The 19,716-nt window shown below is 43.6% G+C and overlaps 3 annotated features.

The window, feature by feature from the left end:
- Positions 5,964 to 6,463: an enhancer, noted in NCBI's record as "H3K4me1 hESC enhancer chr11:95074595-95075094 (GRCh37/hg19 assembly coordinates)". NCBI's record gives its function as "activates a minimal SCP1, AML or CMV promoter by ChIP-STARR-seq in naive H9 embryonic stem cells {active_cell/tissue: H9 hESC(naive)}" and the evidence as "EXISTENCE:reporter gene assay evidence [ECO:0000049][PMID:30033119]".
- Positions 7,753 to 11,292: an enhancer, noted in NCBI's record as "VISTA enhancer hs2531". NCBI's record gives its function as "enhancer in: hindbrain (rhombencephalon)[3/5] | midbrain (mesencephalon)[5/5]" and the evidence as "EXISTENCE:transgenic organism evidence [ECO:0001131][PMID:17130149]".
- Positions 9,404 to 10,131: an enhancer, noted in NCBI's record as "OCT4-NANOG-H3K27ac hESC enhancer chr11:95070927-95071654 (GRCh37/hg19 assembly coordinates)". NCBI's record gives its function as "activates a minimal SCP1, AML or CMV promoter by ChIP-STARR-seq in naive H9 embryonic stem cells {active_cell/tissue: H9 hESC(naive)}" and the evidence as "EXISTENCE:reporter gene assay evidence [ECO:0000049][PMID:30033119]".

Here is a 19,716-nt window from a genome sequence, read left to right as displayed (position 1 = left end):
CTGGGGGTGGAGTGACACGAGTATCCCTGTGGCCACCACCGCTAGGACTGCATTGGGTCAGACCACCGCTAGGACTGCATTGGGTCAGACCTGAAGCCAACACAGCACTGGGCCTCACCCAAGGCCCACTGTAACCAGGCCCTGGCTACTGCCTATGTTTCCTCAAGGCCCTGGAGCTCTACAATCAGCAAGTAGGAAAGCCAGCCAGGCCTGTATCTTTCTCTTCAGGTTGGTGAGGTCCCCTAGTCCCCATCTGGGTCCAGAAGTTCTGTCCAGGAGTCAGGGAATGGAATAAAAACTCACACATCTACCTGGTGTTCTATTGTATTGCAGCTGAGCTGGCACTCAAACCACATGATGCAGTCATTCCCATTCTTCTCTCCCTTTCTCAAAGGTAGAGGAGCCTCACCCCATAGCCACCACCACCCCAGGCCATGAGGAGTACTGCCAGACTACAACTGGTGTTCCCTTATAACCCAAGGTCTCTAAAGGCAGCTTGTCATGAATGCTGCCTGGCCTGGGACTCACCCTTCAGGACAGTGGGCTCCTTGCTGGCCCAGGGTAGGTCCAGAAATGCTGTGAAAGGGTTGAGTCCTGGAATTGGGGACTGCAAAAGCCCTCTTGGTGCTCTATCTCTGCTGTGACAATGCTGGTACCTAAGGTACAAGTCCCTTTTGCTTTTCCCTTGGCTTTTCTGAAGCAGAAGGAGTTTTGTCCCATAGCCACCACACCTGGTAATGTGCTGAGTCTCATCTGAAGCCAGCAAGTCTCAGAAGTTCACCCAAGGCCTTCGATGTAGTACCTGGGTATGCCTACTGGTTATTCAGGGCCCAAGGGCTCTTCAGCTGGCAGGTGATAAATGCTACCAGCACTGGACCCTGTTTTTCAAGGCAGAAGTTTCCCTTCTGGCCCAGGGTGTGTCTAGAAATGTCATCTGGAAGCTAGGGCATCATGACTCTGCCCAGTGCCCTGTCTTACTGTGGCTGAGCTGGCATCCAAGATGCAAGACAAAGTCCTCCTCATCCTTCCCTCTCCTCTTCTCAAGCAGAAGGAAGAGTTCTCTTTTAGAGTCACAAGCTGTGCAGCCTGGGGTTAGGGGAAGGATGAGACCAGAGCTCCCTTGGCTTCCCCAGCTGGTGTCTCTGTATGCCACATGCTCCCTTAGTCCACTGTCCCTGGGCCTAGTTCAGCCCTAGGCCTCGCCTAAGAGAGCCTGTCCTTATGGCATAGACTGCCTTTCAAGTTTACTTGGAGACACAGAGTGCTGTAGCCCTCAGTAGCAAGGTTTGTAAGCACTCAAGTTCAGCCCGCTGGGATTGGCAATTCCCCTCTAGCTAGGGCTCACTTAAATGCTCCTTCTGTGGGTGGGCATCAGCTGAGTTTGATCCAGTTTTCCTTTCTGCTCTAATAGAACAGCATGGAGTTCAGTGACTCACAGTAGCTGTGTTCTTCCTCCCACAGCACCCAGAGAGGCTCTCCACACCAGGCCACCACTGCCAGAGGATGGGGAGAGATGGCATTGGTGATTCAGGACTGTTTTCTCTATCTCTTCAGTGCCTCTTTCAGCCATATGAAGTTAAAAACAGGTCTATGAGTGCTCACCTGAGTTTTGCTTTTTATGAAGGTTTTTTTTGTGTGTAGATAGTCGTACAACTTGGTGTCTTGTTGGGGAGGACAATTGGTGGAGGTTTCTGTTTTGCCATCCTGCTGCACCCTCCAGGATTCAATTTATTTGATTTTTTAAAAATTATTTCATTTTGATTTTTAGAATTTCAGAATAAGCACCAAAGAAGAAAATAAATAAGGCAAAGAGAAAAAAAGTAATGGATTCACAACTATATGCCAATTTTTATAAGTCTGTTATTACTTCTAATCCTCCCAGCAACAAAGGTTTTATCTATCAAAGGAAATAGATTTTGTTATAGCCCCATTTTACCAAGAAGGAAACTGAGACTCAGAGAAAGTAACTTGTGCAATGCTAGGGTTGAAACCACAACTGAAACCCTACTCTTGCTGAACCTAATGCCATACTCTTTCTTTCATCACTTCACACAAGTGTTCCATGTAGATGTTCTGGAATTAATGCTTTATTTTTTAACCTTGTCTTGCTTGTCAGGACAGCCCAGTAACCTTTATAAACCTGCATCAGCTCCAAACCTGCTGCCTGCTCCTATTCCCAGTGAAGCCTCTCACTCTCCCTGGCCCTCCAGCCCTACCCACCCTATGTTCATGATCTGCATGACAGAAAGAACACATGAGTTGTTGGGCCTGGGCACAGCCCTCAACATCTCAAAATGATTTTACTGGCTTTTAAAAGGCATCTCCTCACTAACCCTTTGGGCAGTAACTCAGCATTTGGATCCCCAGGGTAAAGATTCAAAAATGGAAGAAAGCTTGGCAAGGTTGTAACTTGCCCTTTAGTCAGATGTGAGCTGGTGCCAAAGCCTCCTGTCAGCTGCTTCTCCCTCCCCCTCTTCCTTGTCTCAACAGGTTTAAATATGCCCAACACTCAGGTGGAAGTACGGCTTGGGTGGGAGGACAAACTAAGGAAACGAGAAGAATGAGTGGAGCAGCCAAGTACAGAAGACATTGTTAGAGAGGGTTGGATGATTATTGCAAAGAAAATATCTAAGAGCAGAGACCAACAGAGCCTTTTAATAAAAATTGCTAGAAGAAATAATCTGGCAGCAACATGGCAGGAGTAGCTCAGTTGCTCTGGTCAATCACTCAGACTTCAGATTGCAGAGTGAGGTTAACAGCAACTCTGGATCAGAATGATGTAAGGGTTGGGATGGTTCAAAGCACAAGGCTGATATCTCAAATATGTGTAGATTGAAACACCCCCCACTAACCATTATCACTTAGCCTGGCACATACTTATGTAACCAAAGTACCTTCTGCTTTGATCGTGCCTGCCTGCATGACAGTGGTATTCCACTCCACATAACGCATGTTATTTCTGGGTATCTCTAATAGGATGTCTCACATGTCTACAAACCAGCCTGTTGACCTCAGTATCTTCAGTGGTCTTCCTCTCTTGAAAATGCTTCCTCTTGTTCATGATACTGTCCACAAAGTCCCCAAGAGCTTAACCCTACCTCTGCCCATCTTGAGAACAACAGGGTCCATGCCACGCCATTGTGTGTGGAGGCTCCCAAAGCCTCTAGCCGTCTAGGTACCAGACTAAGCCTCTTCACCAATATTATGCTGTACATTCTCACCCAAGCCCCAGAGAAAGTCTGCTTGGCTCAGAGTCTCATCAAGTCTGTCTTGAATAGCACATGTTGGCTTTTATGTTCACCTGCAAGGCACAATACCAAGACCCAGTCCATTGGAACTTACTGAGAAATGCAATGAGATGCTATCGACCAGGGGTGTCCAATCTTTTGGCTTCCCTGGGCCATATTGGAAGAAGCATTGTCTTGGGCCACACATAAAATGCACTAACACCAACAATAGCTGATGAGCTTAAAAATTCCAAAAATCTCATAATATTCTAAGAAAGCTTACAAATTGTGTTGAGCCACATTCAAAGTCATCCTGGGCCGCATGCTGCCTGCAGGCAATGGGTTGGACAAGCTTTCTGTAGACTTTCCAAGAAGAAGACATTTCTTGAGCTCCATGTTAAATATTTGTTACTTAACAAACATTTAATAAATAATAACTATGTTCTAGCCCTTGGTCAGTGTTACCCTTCGGAATGCAAAAGTTAGAACAATATATTTTAATTTTTTTCTCTGTATCCTCAAATCTAATAGCTGTCCCCAAATACGTGTATATATAGGATCAGTTCGCTATAGGTACCGTAATTCTTAACTGAAGAAATTGTTCCTGCAAGAGAAAGGGGAATGTATTCTAATTTGAAGATGTCTCCCAGGCAATTCTAATGAGAAGGAATGCCCTTCTCCAGCCTGACAGCCTCCTCCCACTGTCATAATATTGAGAATCACAGTGTTTCCCCAAATCAAAAGACCTGTTTTAATGAGCATTATTAAGCTCATTTGTAATTGGAAAATAATGCAAAACCAATGAAAACTGAGCTCTGCCTCATTTCAAAAACACACATAGCTCTGCCTCGCTGTTGCCTTCTTCATGAAAAACATTAAAGAAAACTCAACCCTCTCTCAGAGAAAGCAGAGGATTCCAGAGATTATGTGAGCACCTCAGCTTAGCCTTCTGCCGTGCATGGCAGCTCATCTAGGTCCTTGCTAAGAGGTATGGGGGAAAGAGCAAAAGAGGCACACATGTGGTGCCACAGATTACCTTTCTTGCTCACAATGCCATTTTAGATGGCTCAGTATTTGAAAGATGCTGACTGTGGTCACTGTTTTCCTGTACTCTGAGATGATCCAATAGAGATTGTCAGTAGTTGGCACGGTTTACGTGGAGTAGCATTTCACCTTTTCATACCACAATGTAAAGCTTATGTAGAGTAATCAGAAGTGAGGATGATTATACCACCTTTATCAATTGAATAGTGGGCTTAGCCTGAGTGATTACACAGAAAATCATACCATGGAAAAGGGGAAAACACAATCTCCTTTTGGTGTCTGACCTCATAGATCATGACATGATAAAACAAATGTCACCTATGCAAGAACTTTACCACTGACAGGCAGATCACTATAGGTCTTCAATTTTTTAAAGAAATCATAGCATTTTAATTTCCCTTAAATTCTTAAATAACTGGTAGGTTGCCTTTGCTACTGTACTAATAGTGTGCTTATGGGAAGTCAATTATAGAGAAGAGTGGGAAGCAATTTTATCCGCCCACTCAAAAAATTGAAAGATGTCAGGGGAAAGAAAGCAGGCTTTGGAGTTGAGCAGATGTGCATTCAAATCTTAACTAGGCCACTCTTTAGCTGATGATCTTCAACAATTCGTTAGCTTCTCTGTGACTGTGTTATCAATACCTAATTTACAAGATTGTAGAGGCTAAATGGAAATAATGTACATAAATTTGCTGGGCACAGTCTGGGCACAGCAGCTCACGCCTGTACAGTAGATCTCCAAAACTTATTCATCTTGCATGACTGAAACAACTTTGTACCCTTTGACCACTACCTCCCTATTTCTCCCTCCCTCCAGCCTGACACCTTGGGAGGCTGAGGCATGAGGATCACTTGGGCCCAGGAGATCTAGGCCAGCCTGGGCAATATACTAGGATCTTGTCTCTTCAAAAAATAAAGAAAAATTAGCTAAGCATGGTAGTGCATGCCTGCTGTCCCAGCTACTCAGGAGGCTGAGGTGGGAGGATTGCTTGCTTGAGCCCAGGAGGTCAAGGCTGCAGTGAGCCATGATTACACCACTGCACTCCAGCCTGAGCAACAGAATGAGACCCTGCCTCAAAAAAAAAAAAAAGAAAAGAAAAGTTGCTGGGAACATTGTCGGGCACACAGCAAGGACTCAATATACTACAGTAGTTAGAGGACAAGGAGGAGGAGGAGTGATAGAAAGTCAGCAAGCACTTGCTTGTAATAGTAGTGCTAGTTACCATTATTATTAACCTTAGAGGAAAGGCAATGTCTAGGCAGAACTGAGATTCAGATGGCAAGAAAGGCCAAGCTTCCATGCCTTTCTCATGCCACATCTTGTCCTAGGAAGGAAATGATTTACCCAAGATCATATAGACAGAGTAGCCATCTGAGTTGAGATTTGAATGCGAGACTGTCTAACTCCAGAGCAAGAAGAGGGGCTGCCAAGAAGTAAAGGCATAGTGGAGAAAGATAGCATAGTATAATGATTAGACTAGCTCAGAGGTCAGACAGGCCTGAGTTCAAATCCTCACTCTGCCATTTTCTGGTTGTGTAACCTTAGGAAAACTACTCAGTGTCTGAGCTTTAGTTTTTTTCACTCTTAAGATCAGTTTACTGATACCTCACTCTAAGAACTTTTAAGATAATCAAACAAGATCACATAAAGTTTTTTTTCCCCTTACCATGCTTGGTACGCAAAAAGTTTGCAATAGAGGGTATATATTATCATGATCATTACATAAGAAATAAAGTGCCCAATCTGGTGCCCAAAAAAAGTATCATTGGGCATAACAGGGGGGAGGTGAGGGAGGACAAGTACTGTAACGACCAAGGGAATTGAAGAAAGCCTAGAGGAGACGGGATGACGGAGAGGGTGCCGCAGCACTGGAGGGCCAAAGCAGGCTGAAGGGCCCATTTAACTTAGGCTGGTTGACCATATTGTGGCCAGAGGGAGAGTACCAATTGTGGTCCAGAAAAGGAGCCAAAGGTCAAAGCTGAAGGCCTTTGTAGGAGCCTAAGAGGGAAAACAGGACAAGGAGACAGATGGCAGGAAGATGAGGAATGAGTCAGGGAGCAACATCTGAGGCAGATTGGGGTGAGCCGTAAACTACTCAACCCAGAGGCTGCGACCCATGTGGGCGTGTCAGGGCTCCATTTCCATGTGTGCCAGCTGTGTGGTGTGGGAAAGGGCTGACAGCTTGAAGGCAGCGAGCAGGACAGGGCAGGGAACCATCCGCTCAGCAATAGTGCCGATGGGAGAGGCGGTGTCAGCATGTCAAAGGCAACAATTCCCAGCCCACATCATCAGGAATGAGCTGTGGAAGCCAGAAAGCAAGGGCATTGGGGATCGGCACCAGCTGCTTAGGCCATAAAACTGGGCATTCAAGGATAGACAGCGTGAGATGCTCCGGGGTCCAGCCAGGGAAACAGATGAAGAGAAAGGAGGGGTTTGGGAGAAGCTGAACTGTTAGTTTTTGACCTGCTTCCTATTGATATCTCCCTTAAGGCTTCCGTTACCAAGCAATGGGGGATTCATTTCCTCGGCCATTTAATAAATCTTCATTGAATAATTACTCTGTGCTGGACACTTCTAAGCAGTAGGGATACCACAATAAAAAGAAAGACGTGGTCCTTTTCTTCAAATAGTTTTTTGGGGAGAAGGGGAGATAAATTACAGACAATAAATAAGCAAATAGGTAAAATCATTTCAGATGGGGAAAAGTGCCATAAAGACAATTAAGAAAGGTGATGTGAGAGAAAGGAATGGCAATAGGTGGCGAGAAAGTTTCTTTAGACAAGGTAGTCAGGAAAGGTCATCTGAGAAGGTGATAGTTAAAATGAAAACTAAATGACAAGAAGGATATGGCTCTGTACAGATCTGGAGGAGACACATACCTGCATGCACCCTCTCTCCCCTAGTTCCCCGCATATGGCCCCCTTCCCCCAGTTCCCTAAAGTCAATGTCGGAAGATGAAGCAGAAAGCAGCAATTCTATGGTATTTCTTTTCTTCTTAGATTTTTCTCCCAGCCTGAAAATTGATCTAGAAACTATTTATCTACTTGTGTCTTTATTCATTCAACATGTATTAGGTGTCTACCATGTACCAGGTACTTTGATGGACACAGGGAATGTGATATAATACAGGTACTGGCATCTGACCACAGAACAAGGACCTAAGAACAGGATTCAATACTTAATGTGTATTTCATTTAGATCAAAATTAAACTAGGGATTATTTACAGTAGCCAAGATATGGAATCAACCCAAATGTCCACCAACAGATGAATGGATAAAGAAAATGTGGTATATACATACAATGGATTTTTTTTTCTGCTGTACAACATAGTACCTGTAGTTAACAATAGAGTGTTGTACACCTAAAAATTCATAAAGAGGGTAGATCTCATTTATGTAAGTGAAGTTACCACCAAGAAAGTGGGGGTGGGGGGACACAAATAATCTTTGGAGGTGTTGGATATGTCTATTACCTTTATTTTGGTGATGGTATCATTGGTGTTTGCATATGTCCAAACTCATCAAATTGTACATATTAAAAAATATATATGTATTCCTTTTATCAATTATGCCTCAATAAAGCTGTTTTTAAAAAATTAAACTAGGGAGAAGTATGTGTGTGTATTTGTGCATGTGTGTGCTATGTGTATGTTTATCTGGATAAACATATACCTGGCAGCATATGAGTTCACAAACAAAAATCAATGTCTCAATGTATATTTGGCTGAAGCAGGCATAAAGGAATCTTGTTGCACAGTGAAAGTTACTTCCACACACTCAGCCAAAACAAAGCTTGCTAAACTCTGAAAAGCAAAGACTAGATATGAGATAGTCATCCTGTTACAAGTTTCATAAGGAGCTAAAAATACAGAAGAGGAAAACAATGATCTCAGCAAGGTAATTGCCAATAGGTGAACAAATGAAGCAGACAGAATATGAGCAGCAATTTGGCAGTCCTGTGGGGAGGGGATGAGTTTGTGGGGCTAATGTCAGTGTGGCATACCACCAGTAGTTACAGTCCAGCAAAACAGTTTGAAACTAGTTATCCAACTACTCCTGACACTGCACTCCTCACTGCCTTAAGACACGCTTAGGGGATAGGGGACAACAGGAGAAAGGTGACAAGCTGACAGGAAGGAGAATATGGGTATCTTTTTTCCACACCTTCAAACATTCCAATTGATCTTTCTTAACTAACATTTTTCCTGTGTGGATTTTATGCGCCAGTGGTAAGCAATGTCCCTTGGACATTCCTTCCCAGGCAGGAAACTTTGTTTTTGTTTGGGCTCAGCCAGGATCTCTGGGCTGCAGGCATGTTGTTTTATTTTAAGAAAGTGGCTGTATTTTAGCTAGGGAGCATGTTTTGAGCAGAGGTTTTAAAGTGCCATCTTCCAGAATGACTTAGGCCAGACTGAAAACAGCGAGGAAGCTGGATAAAATTAAAGACCTCGAGGGATCTTTCCAAGAGCTCTGAGTTGGTGAAAATAATTTAGTGATTAGTCCCTTCAGCATCTTTAGATCCTTTTCAACCCAATGGGTGGGCTAATGCCTGCAACCTCTACAGTTTGCCGGGATTCTGAATTGATCAAGTTACAGTGAAACCACACAGGTACAGAGCTGCTGGCTTGCAAAGGATTCCTCCCTCAGAAAGTTCTTGGCTCCGGCCAGAAAAGAACACTACCACATTTTTCTTGGCTTTTTATAGGGTGTTGATCCAAGGATCTGTTTTTACATTTGAATGTGGCAGTCAACTGTAGCATAATAGATTGCAGACCTTTGTGAAAAATCACTGTGAAGGCTTCAGCAGAGAACTGTGGGCTGGCTGCAGAGAACTGCACTGTCAGCAGGTTAGGAACTGGGCGCTTGTCCATGTTTTCCTTATTTTTAAAGGAGTCATTGACCTTCCACAGGCCTGTATCAAAATGGGGGGAACAAAAATGCTGCCAGACAGGGCGGAATTGGAAGAGGCCTCTTTCAGGGGCTGGAAAGGCCTTCGTTTAGTCTATTTACTGTCATGGAAATTCTGAGTGTGACTTAGAGGCCTCCTTGGCTCTGAGCCAGGTGGAAAGGTTTGGAAAAAAAAAAAAAAGCAGAGACTCAACTGGGGAGTGAGCTGGGTGGGAAAGCAGCTGCCCTGGCACAGCCCCCAGAGGGATGTGAAGAGCCCCAGTGCCTATTGTGCAAAGGCAGATTCAGAAATCCCTGCAAGTTTGGACATAGGTGACAGCCAATGTCACTGTTCCAGAGTGGCCAGGTTTGATAAACATGCTGAGAAGTTGTTAGAATTTGTTCTTGATGAAGGAGGCTTCACCCGACATACCATTCATTCCTTCATTTGTTCTTCAAACAGTCTTTAAGGGCCTACTGTGTTTGAGACACACCACGCTCAGCACTGAGAATACAGTCATGACAAACACAATCTCTGCCTACTATTCTGTAGGAAGACAGTCTAGTAAAAACAGCTACTATACTACAATAGTTAGGCAGACCAGAGCCACCATAGGAGTATTAGAACAGTCTCAGATCTACCCTGCATGGCCTCTCTCCAGGGCACCTCAATTCATTTCATCAATCATCACTGGAATTCCTATCAACCCTGTGCTAAGAGTTTAGTCCCTCCATATTATGGGCCCACAGGATCCAAGTGAATTGGTACTCTCCCAGGTTACAGAAATTCGCTCCCTGTCTAGTGCAAAGGATGTATGAGCTACAACTTGTCCCCTCTCCCAGGGGGATTTGCATTTTAAAGAGGATTATCACCTCAGCTAAAGGCAAGGTTCCCCCAGTGCAGGCTTTTAGGCCAAAGCAGGAAGAGTAGAGAGTGTCTTAGAGAACCAGAAGACTGCCTTCCTAGAAACACAGATGTCACTCCGGGGAGGCAGCCTGCCCGCCCTGGGCTTTAGGCCGTTCTGGAACTGAAAGGGGGTTGGAAACCATCTGGCAGGATACGAAAGAGAAAGCCCGTGGCGAGCAGCCACCGGAGCCTTGCTTTCCTGGGCTGGCCTTCCTAAGCTCCCCACAAGCAAGGACTTGTTTTCTGCTAAGCTCTCAGGGAGTCTAAGAAGGGGTTTACGTGAGAGAGTGTGTGTGTGTGTGTGTGTGTGTGTGTGTGTTTGTGTGTGTGTGTGTGTGTGTTCTACAGCCTAAAGAGAAACTGCACATAGGGGAAGCATGTGAGGTAAAGAGGCCAGAGAAAAGATTCAAAGAGAACAAGCAAGAGAGCCGGTTGGGGCAGGTCTCCAGAGCCGCTATTATTTTTTTCTGGTTGATTATCACAGTGCTTGAAAATGAAGAATAATTTCAGAGGTTGGTGGGGAGGAGGGGCCTGGCTTCTTGGAAGCCTTATTAACACCAGGCGAACAAGACTGTAATTAATCATCAGGGTGAACTTGAGCCACTGGGATGAACGCTAACCCGTTAACCAGCTCTGCCTGGTATTTTTATTTCAGCAAGATCTGAAACTTTAAGGATGTCCTTCTGAACACGATTCCCACCACCACTGCCCTCGGTAACTCAAATGAAGCTTCTGGAGTGAAGCCTTGCAACTGTACTGTCATGTTTTCAACTTTATAATTTTATTCTAGTGACTTCTAGATCTTAACTTTGACTTATCCACTGTGGTAAAGACAAATTGAAAGAATTTGAAACATCAGACAACTTAGATTATGATTTTTACGTATACCAGAATAAGCATTATTTTTTTTTTCTTCCTACTGCTATACCTTTCTTCTTATTGGGCTAGGGTTAATAGAAACAATTCTTATGAAAAGGAAATCTATTATTTTAAAATATATGCGATTTCAGACATTGTCTGAGATGAAGGTTACCTTCATGCTATCTGTGAAGAAAAGTTTGCTAAGTAAATGAGGACAATAAACAAAATCTCAGCCCAAATTTTTTACCTTACTTGAAGAAACATATTGTAAGAACCATAGCAGCATCCATTTACATGTAAACATTTTTATACTACTTACAAATTATTGTCATCTTTCCTTAAAAGCTGACCCTCAAAGAACCTCTAGTTGGTAACGTGCTTCTAGCTTCATTTTCATCACCCTACATATTGGAAATTCATGAAAATGCTTTTCTTCGCAAGCATTCCCCCAAAGCTAATTTGAATTAATGATGTTGGTGTAGTTAGAGTTTGTTTATGGTCTGGTACTGCTAAATTCATGATTGACTATATTACCTGAAAAAAATGGGGTTCATTTGCCTGGCAAGTAACAACTCTCCACGAGAACACAGGTTTTTTCTCAATAAGCATTTTATTATTTGTCACAAAAAAGAAGAGCACTGGTGTGTTCTCCAAGGCAGTGTCTCCCTGAGGGAAAGTGACAGGAGGGTTTTACGGGGCAATGGAGAGTAGAGAGGAAGTGTCAGCGCATGTAGAGGAAGGGTCCCACCAGTGGTGCAGATGCAATGAGTCATCACACCAGCACATAGGTCACATGTTATGGTAATGAGGCTATAGCTCCCCTGAGGGGGTTGGTGGGGGGGTGGACTCTAGCATAGTAATGAGGAAAGTTCACTCAGGTTCATTTATAATTTGCCAGGGTCTGTCAGGAGCTGGTGTCAACCAACTGGGTGACCACATTCCACATAGGGTTTGGGACAAAACAGGCTTCAAGACAAGATGCTGTAAAACAGGCTGATTGCTCAAGTTGATTAAATTCCTATAGTCCCTGGAGATCCTCCCTGTCTGCTTACAGATAGATGGATGGGTGAATCTTCAATAGAGTCCACCAGACTTATGTCTTTATTTCCTTAAAACATGGGCCTCTGGGTCTCAGGGGACGCCCTGGGAAGTAGAAAGGATGTCCATTCCTCTCAAGAAGTCTTCACTGGCAGGGCGTGGTGGCTCACACCTGTAATCACAGCACTTCAGGAGGCCCAGGTGGGCAAATTACTTGAGGCCAGGAATTTGAGACCAGCCTGGCCAACATGGTGAAATTCTGTCTCTACTAAAAATACAAAAATTAGCCAGGCGTGGTGGCATGCACCTCTAGTCCCAGCTACTCGGGAGGCTGAGGGAGGAGAATCACTTGAACCTAGGAGGCAGAGGTTGCAGAGAGCCAAGATTGTGCCACTACACTCCAGCCTGGGCGACAGAGCAAGACTCCATCTCAAAAAAAACAAAAAGTCTTCACCATCCAAGACACACTTCCACCTATGACTGAAGACCATAGCTCACCAGCTTCGGGCCTGCTTCAGGGTCCTGAGCTGCCTCTTGTTCATCCTGCCACTTGTGCCTACCTTGGCTGTTTGGTCACTTGGTTTGGCAGCTTGACCATTTTCCACAGCCCTCGGTAAGTAGTGCTCCCCACTTGCTCCCACCAGCGGAAGCCTATTTCCCCTCCCCTCCCCAAGGCCAAATTGCCAGAGAGAGGGAGCAAGATTGGACAGCCCACTCACAAGCTCTCTCGGGGACACCTCATTCCATATAGGTAAACTCCTACTAGCTGCTGGTCTCAATTCTAGATAGCTGTGGACCCCAAAGGATGTAATTAATGCTATCAAAGAAGACACAGTGCTCTGCTACTTGGCTGTGAAAACTTCTCCTCCAAAGTGGAAGGTTTGACGATTTCCACAATAAAAATCTCCCCATGTTCTCCATCCCATTTTTCCCTTCAAAATATTAACATTTTTTGAATTTAGTCAACAAAGTCTACTTTTTCCTTCGACTTTTAAATGGACCCAAACATTTTCCATTAATCTAATTCTGTCTTTAATTGAATACCTCCCCACATTTTCCAGTTTCTTTTTAAAGCATTTTTTATATTCTATTTACAATATCAGAAGATAAAAATTAAGTATCCATAATGAAATCACTGTTTTTGTATACAAAATATGAAGTAAGTACAACAAAAATTATATTTGGGGGTATAAAATATGAAAGGAAGCCCCTGCCCTCACCATGACTCCTGGCAACTTCTTGGATCAGCTCCGATAAAAGTTTAGTGCCTTTCCTTCCAGACTGTTTCTGGGCTTACACAAACATGAACAAATGTTTTCAAACCAATTATCAAAGTTTCTTTGATTTCTCTTTCCCTCTTACCACATGTTATGGGCTGAATTATATCCCCTTGAAATTCATATGTTGAAGTCCTAAACTCCAGTTACCTCAGAATATTATGATATTTGACAATAAGGTCTTAAAGAGATACTTAGGTTACAATGAGGTCATTAGATTGGGCCCTAATCCAATATGATATGTGTCTTTATAAGAAGGATGAGAAAGAGGAAATCTGAACACGGACATGTGCACTCATAGCAGGAAGACCATGCAAAGACACCAGAGTAAGATGGCCATCTAGAAGCCAAGGAGACAGGCCTTAGAAGAGACCAACCCTGCCAACACCTTAATCTTAGACTTCTAGTTTCCAGAAATGTGACAAAATAAATTTCTGTTGTTTAAGCCACCCCATCTGTGGTACTTTGTTATGGCAGCCCTAGCTGACTAATATACGAACCACCAGGAAATTCTAGTGCCTATTCCTCCAACACCATCTTAAATCCATTCCATTTACTTCTTTCCATCTTCACCACCATACTCAATCCAAGCCATCATCATTTCTCACTGGTTGACAGTGAAAACCCCCGCACCAAGCAGTCTCTTCACTGTCGACTGCAAGCAAACAATAGATACCAACTCCAGTAAGCAGAAAAAGGATTATTGGAAATCTATTGAGAAGTTCACAGAATTGATGAGAAAGCACTAAAACTAGCCTCAGAGATAGGCAAGTAGATCAGGTTACTCCTGTTTTTAAACCTTCCAATGGCTTCCCATCACCCTTAGAATATAGTTCTAACCACATGCCCTGGGATGCCAGATGCCCTGTGGCAGATCTCCAGAGATGGAAACCCATCACCAGAGAGTCAAACAGAATCAATATAAAAGTTAAGCTCATCATGCCTTTGTTGTCATCAATGCTGACAGAGCCCAAGAACTGAAATGCCCTTCACACATGGCTCTTCATGTGCGTGGAGGTTCAGATGTCTGCATGTGGGCCCTGCTGCTTCTGAATGACTTAGTTAAAAGCATTTTAAAGCTCCAACTTAATTAGCTAATTTAAATCCTGTTCAGTTTATCGTCTGTGTACAATGTTCTCTGCACAGGTCCAGAAACTAATGACCATCTTCAACATAATCACTAACATTTGCTTAGTGGTTCACAGTTTACAAAGTGCTTTCACTTACTTTAAACCCTCGGATTCTCAAAATGCTCCTGTGAATAGGTGGGATAGGCATTATTACCTCATTTTAACAGGTGAGAAAACTCAGACTCAGAGGTCAAGTGCACTTTTCAAGCACACCAGGGATAAGGAAGGGGGAAGCTTGGATTAAAACCTACCACTTTTAAACTCTAAATGTCACTTATAATCACCTAATTCACCAGGCATTTTAAATAACCGAGGTTTTGCTGGCAAAAGTGAGGGGGTAAAACAAACAAAGGCCACGGGATCCTAATTCAGAAGCAGGTAGGGGATAAAATGAAGACAGCTGGGTTTTGCCATAGACATGGGAATATCCAGCTCCTGGGTATATGCCCCGCCAGGTTCTAGGGCCTAGAGCAAACCATACACTGAGCACTGCACCCCCCCTTACTAATAGCCAGTCATACATACCACCATGGAAATGGTGAGAGGAGTAAATGAAAATGGAAATCAGGAACCACCTAAAAGAGGAAAATTAAGAAAAAGGAGGCCAGCCCACAAGGTGAGGCAAGAGGCACTGGTAATTGTTTAAAAGCTGATGTTTATGAAACTTTTATCTGCCTGGCTGGAACCTTACCTAAGTATCTCTCCAGCTTCCACCTAGAGACAGTCACTGCAAGTGGTCATGGAGATGAGAAGGAGAAATTAGGAAGAGCAAGAGCAAAAAATTAGGCCGACCTGGGGCTATCCCCTTGATTACCAAGACACCAGGGAGTTGCTGCACTAGGTACAATCTTACTGCCTGGAGAATTTTTTTTTTTTTTTTTTTTTTTGCAAATCAGAAACAAGAGAAGTCACAGCTCCTGCACCCTTTAGTCTATCAGAAAGTAAATCTCCTGGTTGAGGCACCTTCTCTTCAGTGTTGGATTTCCCCCAAGGTGACAGCCCACAGACCCTTGCTTCAGGGGCATGGCCTACGGCACCCCAACTGCTCTCCTGACCTAACCCTACATGCTCCCACTGCATGTGCCAGGTCTGGTCTCAGACAAGAATCCAAAGTGGCTCATGACCAAATGCAAATCACCAAGTACAATACCTCTTTGTAGTTTCTTCACACCTTTCATCCCAGAGTTTCAAAGCACAGTGCAAATGTTAACTTGTCCTCAGACACCCCAGGAGAGGCAGGTAGGTGGCACATGCTATTATCATCTCCCGTTTATAGAAACAAACCAGACTTTGAGCCATGAACTCTCTTGCTTGACGCCTCATGGTGAATAATTGTATGTCCTGGGGACCTATATCTAGTCATTAACTATATCATGTTACGGCTGAAATACCACAAATATCAGCCCTCTGCTAACTATTTTCTTACCTTATTTTCTTCTTTCTTTCTTCCTTTGGACTCTAAGTTCTCATAGCTTTATAAGAAGATCCCCAAAATTGCCACAACCACAACCCATCTTCAGTTGCCCTTCTCTTAAAAGAAGCCAGAAAATAAATTAAATCAGCCCTTTTGCTACATGCTTATGATAAATGATCACTTGCCTAGGGAAACAGTTTTGGCCAGGTCAGTGTGTTATGTAGAGTGGAAAGTCACTCAGAGGTATCTACCCTCCCTAATGTCCCTTCTAAGGGACTCACCATTTTTGGCTGAGAAGAGTAGCCTCTAGCTGTGACTTAAATGATGTGGCCATCTTTTGTACCACATGACTGCACCCTCACTCAAGCCACACCTGAAAATGAACCAAGGACCAAGGTGTAATTATTCCAGAGACTGGTCTGTGGATTCATAAGAGGTCCTATTTCCAAAGTGCTATTCAAACAATGGAGTTTGATGGGAGGAAAAAAGGGTGAGTTTCAATCAGATGGTCAAACAGAGAAGTGGGCAGACTGGAGAGTAGTGAATAACACTAAGGGCAGAGAATGAGAGTCTGAACTTCTACTGTTGTGAGAACAAGAGTTTAAACAAGTCCTTGGAACTACTGTAGATTCTGAATGACCTTGAGGTTCTGGTGTCTGTGAGTTTTGGCCATACCTTGGTCATATTCTTTGTACATTCCTACATGCTTTATTGCTAGCCTTTGTAACATGCCCTCGTTTTTAGCCTGAGATCAGAGATATCCAACTAAGGATTTCATTTATGGTCTGTGACTTACATGCATGAACCAATATAATGTTGGGCAAGCCACTTGGTCTTTGTGCTTCAAAGCTTTCATCAGCAAAATAGGGATAATTATCTCTTAGGCCATGCCTTCAGAGTTGATTGGACTTCATAAATATATAGTTGATTTGAAGTGGGGGTTTTCCAGCCATGATAACTTCCAACTACCAAGCAATCACTGAATGTCCACCTGATTTAATTATTTAGATATTTGAAGTAATGACATTTTTTTAAAGCCCTGTCACATAGTTCTCTTAAGAATAGGATAACGTCAGCTTTGCCGATCAACCCCTAAATGTCAGACTACTAAATATACTGATCCTGATGGGCCTTTTGAAATTCTGGGATGTGACTTGTGAGATAGATTACAGAAGACATCAATTATGCTGCCCAAATGGTACAAATGTATCTCATCTAAGAGAGAGAGAAATTGAAATAGACACCGTGTGCTTAAGAGAAAAAAATACAGCACACACAAAACATTTTTGAGAAATGAGATAGTTGACATTTTGATCAATCAACCATAACTACTAAATATCATCATCTCTGCCATTAATTACCTGCAAATGAAGAGCCAGCCCTGGCCAGGAGCAGTTCTGCAGGCATCCAGCTCTGCAGTCATGTTAGGGAAAGGGAAAGGCAGAAACTAGAGAAGATCAGGGCAAAGCCCAAAGAAACAAAAATTGCTAAGTGTGCTGAGTAGTATTTTCCTAAAGGATGATTTCCCTCTCAGCAGTTCAGCACCCCTGCTGCCTGAGGGAAAGCTGCCAGCAGGGGAGGGGCCTAGCTGTCCAATGAGCTTGTCACCTTGCCCTCTCCATACCCAGCTTGTGTCAGTGCATCCCTCAGACAGCAGCTGGGCAAAGTGGCAGCTCCTCCAGAACTTCCTTTGACTCCGGTGGCATCCATCCTGGGCTCTGGCTCCATGCTTGGCTCAGGAATAACTGCCAGGACCAACCAGCTGTGCTAAGACTCTGAAGCTGCCACTCACTCATGGAAGGGGAAGGAAAGTGAGGTCCATCCCATGTAGGTGGACGAAGATAGGGCAAGAGGAGGAACCACTGCCTTTTATGCGGGGTATGGTAGCTGAGGCATTTTACTTAGGCAAGACTTGAAGAAAGCAAGCCCAGGTGAGCCTTTGCTTCAGAAATATATAAAGTAGAGGGGAAATTCTTTTGTCCCATTTCAGCAACATCCAAGCATTTTCCTTAGAAGCAGGGCAGATCCAGGTTTTGAGTAGCCTGGATTTTATACCATTTGGGGGAGGGTCCCTCTTTTACAAAAGCATACAAAATTAAGTACAGAGCTTTAAAAAAAAAAAAGAAAGAAAAGCTCTGAAAGCTTAAGTTTCATTGCCTTTGTGGCAAATCAGCCTTTATTTAGAAGTAGGTTTATTTCCTGTTGCTCTGCCTCTCTCTCACCTCATTTCTCTACCTGTGTCTCTCTTGCCATGATTTTGGGTTCATTTGCCCTAGGAGGACCTAAAACAGCACAGGTTATATAAATATTTGTCTGCGTCTTCTGGAGTGTCCTCAGCATCTGTCCCTCTGAAATGCTCCAGTAGCATAATGAAGTTGTACTGAGGTTAGGGGATGGACTCAAGGCAGAGGCCCACACTTCACTGAAAATTGCCTGTCATTCCTGCCAGGCTGGCTTTAGAACTCTGGGTCTGCATCCACTCAGCTAGCAATTCTCAGGGTCACCGTTATAAGTGGCCTTGTGTCCCCCTAAAATCATATGTTAAATTTTCCAGCTCATGGTACCTAACATTATGATTTTATTTGAAGATAGGGTCTTTACAGAGGTAATCGAGTTAAAATGAGGTCCTTAGGTTGGGCTCTAATCCAATGTGACTAGTGTCTTCATCAAAGGCAAAAATTGGAGACCTACAGAGTGAACATCATGTGAACATAAAGGCAGAGATCAGGGTAATGATTCTACAAGCCAAGGAATGCCAAAGACTTGACAGCAGACCACAAGCCAAGGGAGAGGCGTGGAACAGAACTTCCCTCACAGCCATCAGAAAGAGCCAGCCTTGCTGATGTTTTGATCTTGGGCTTCTAGTCTCCAAAACTGTGAGACAACAAATTTCTATTGTTCAAACCACCCATTTTGTAGTACTTTCTTACCGCACCCCAGTAAGTGAATATAATCACTTTGCATATATCTCCCCTCCACATCATTTGTCAAAAAATGAAGATCAATATAATGTCCTTCATAATACAAGCTGTAAAAGCGCAACCAAAACAGGAATGTAAAAGTGCTTCTCTCTGTACCATCTATAAGGAATAACTCATAACCAGAGAGATTCTGTAAGCACTTCTGCCCCAAAAATCTCTTTCGCTTGCCTTGATTGTGCTGCTAATGATTTTGTTCAAGTCATAACATGAGAGAAACGTTCAAGAGAAAATGTCAACAAATGTTTCTTTTCTTTCTTTCTTTCTTTTTTTTTCTGAGACAGAGTTTCACTCTTGTTGCCCAGGCTGGAGTGCAATGGCGTGATCTTGGCTCACTGCAACCTCCGCCTCCCAGGTTCAAGTGATTCTCCTGCCTCAGCCTCCCAAGTAGCTGGGATTACAGGAACCCGCCACCATGCCCAGCTAACTTTTGTATTTTTTTTTTTAAGTAGAGACAGGGTTTCCATGTTGGCCAAGCTGGTCTTGAACTCCTGATCTCAAGTGATCCACCCATCTCGGCTTCCCGAAGTGCTGGAATTACAGGTGTAAGCCACCACACTCGGCCATGAGTTGGGCTTTGAAGGATGAATAAGAGTTTGACAGGCTGAGAAACAAAAAGAAGGCAGAGGGGCAAACGGCCAGTTTGAGGTATGTTGAACAAATTCACATGGCTGTAGTACCAAGGTCAGATGAGAGAGAGGCATATTAAAGAAAGGGTGGGCCAGGAGCATGTGGCAGGATGAGGGAGTAGGAGGGCAAGAGGTGACAACAGAAACTCGAATGTCAGATTCTCTCTTCTTGATCTCTCCTGTGTTCTGATGTTGATGTACATCTCTAGAAAGCCTGCCTTAGGTATAAGTCGGAACCCAGGAAAGGTCCTTGACAAAGTTCTGCTGTTTTCCTTAGTTTGGATGAATCTATAATGAAAAGACATTTGAGCAAGTAGTGAGAA

This window comes from Homo sapiens, chromosome 11, assembly GCF_000001405.40.
Source record: "Homo sapiens chromosome 11, GRCh38.p14 Primary Assembly".
Classification (NCBI taxonomy): domain Eukaryota; kingdom Metazoa; phylum Chordata; class Mammalia; order Primates; family Hominidae; genus Homo; species Homo sapiens.
Note: the sequence above shows the minus strand (reverse complement) of the source record. Positions and strands in the feature narration are given on the sequence as shown.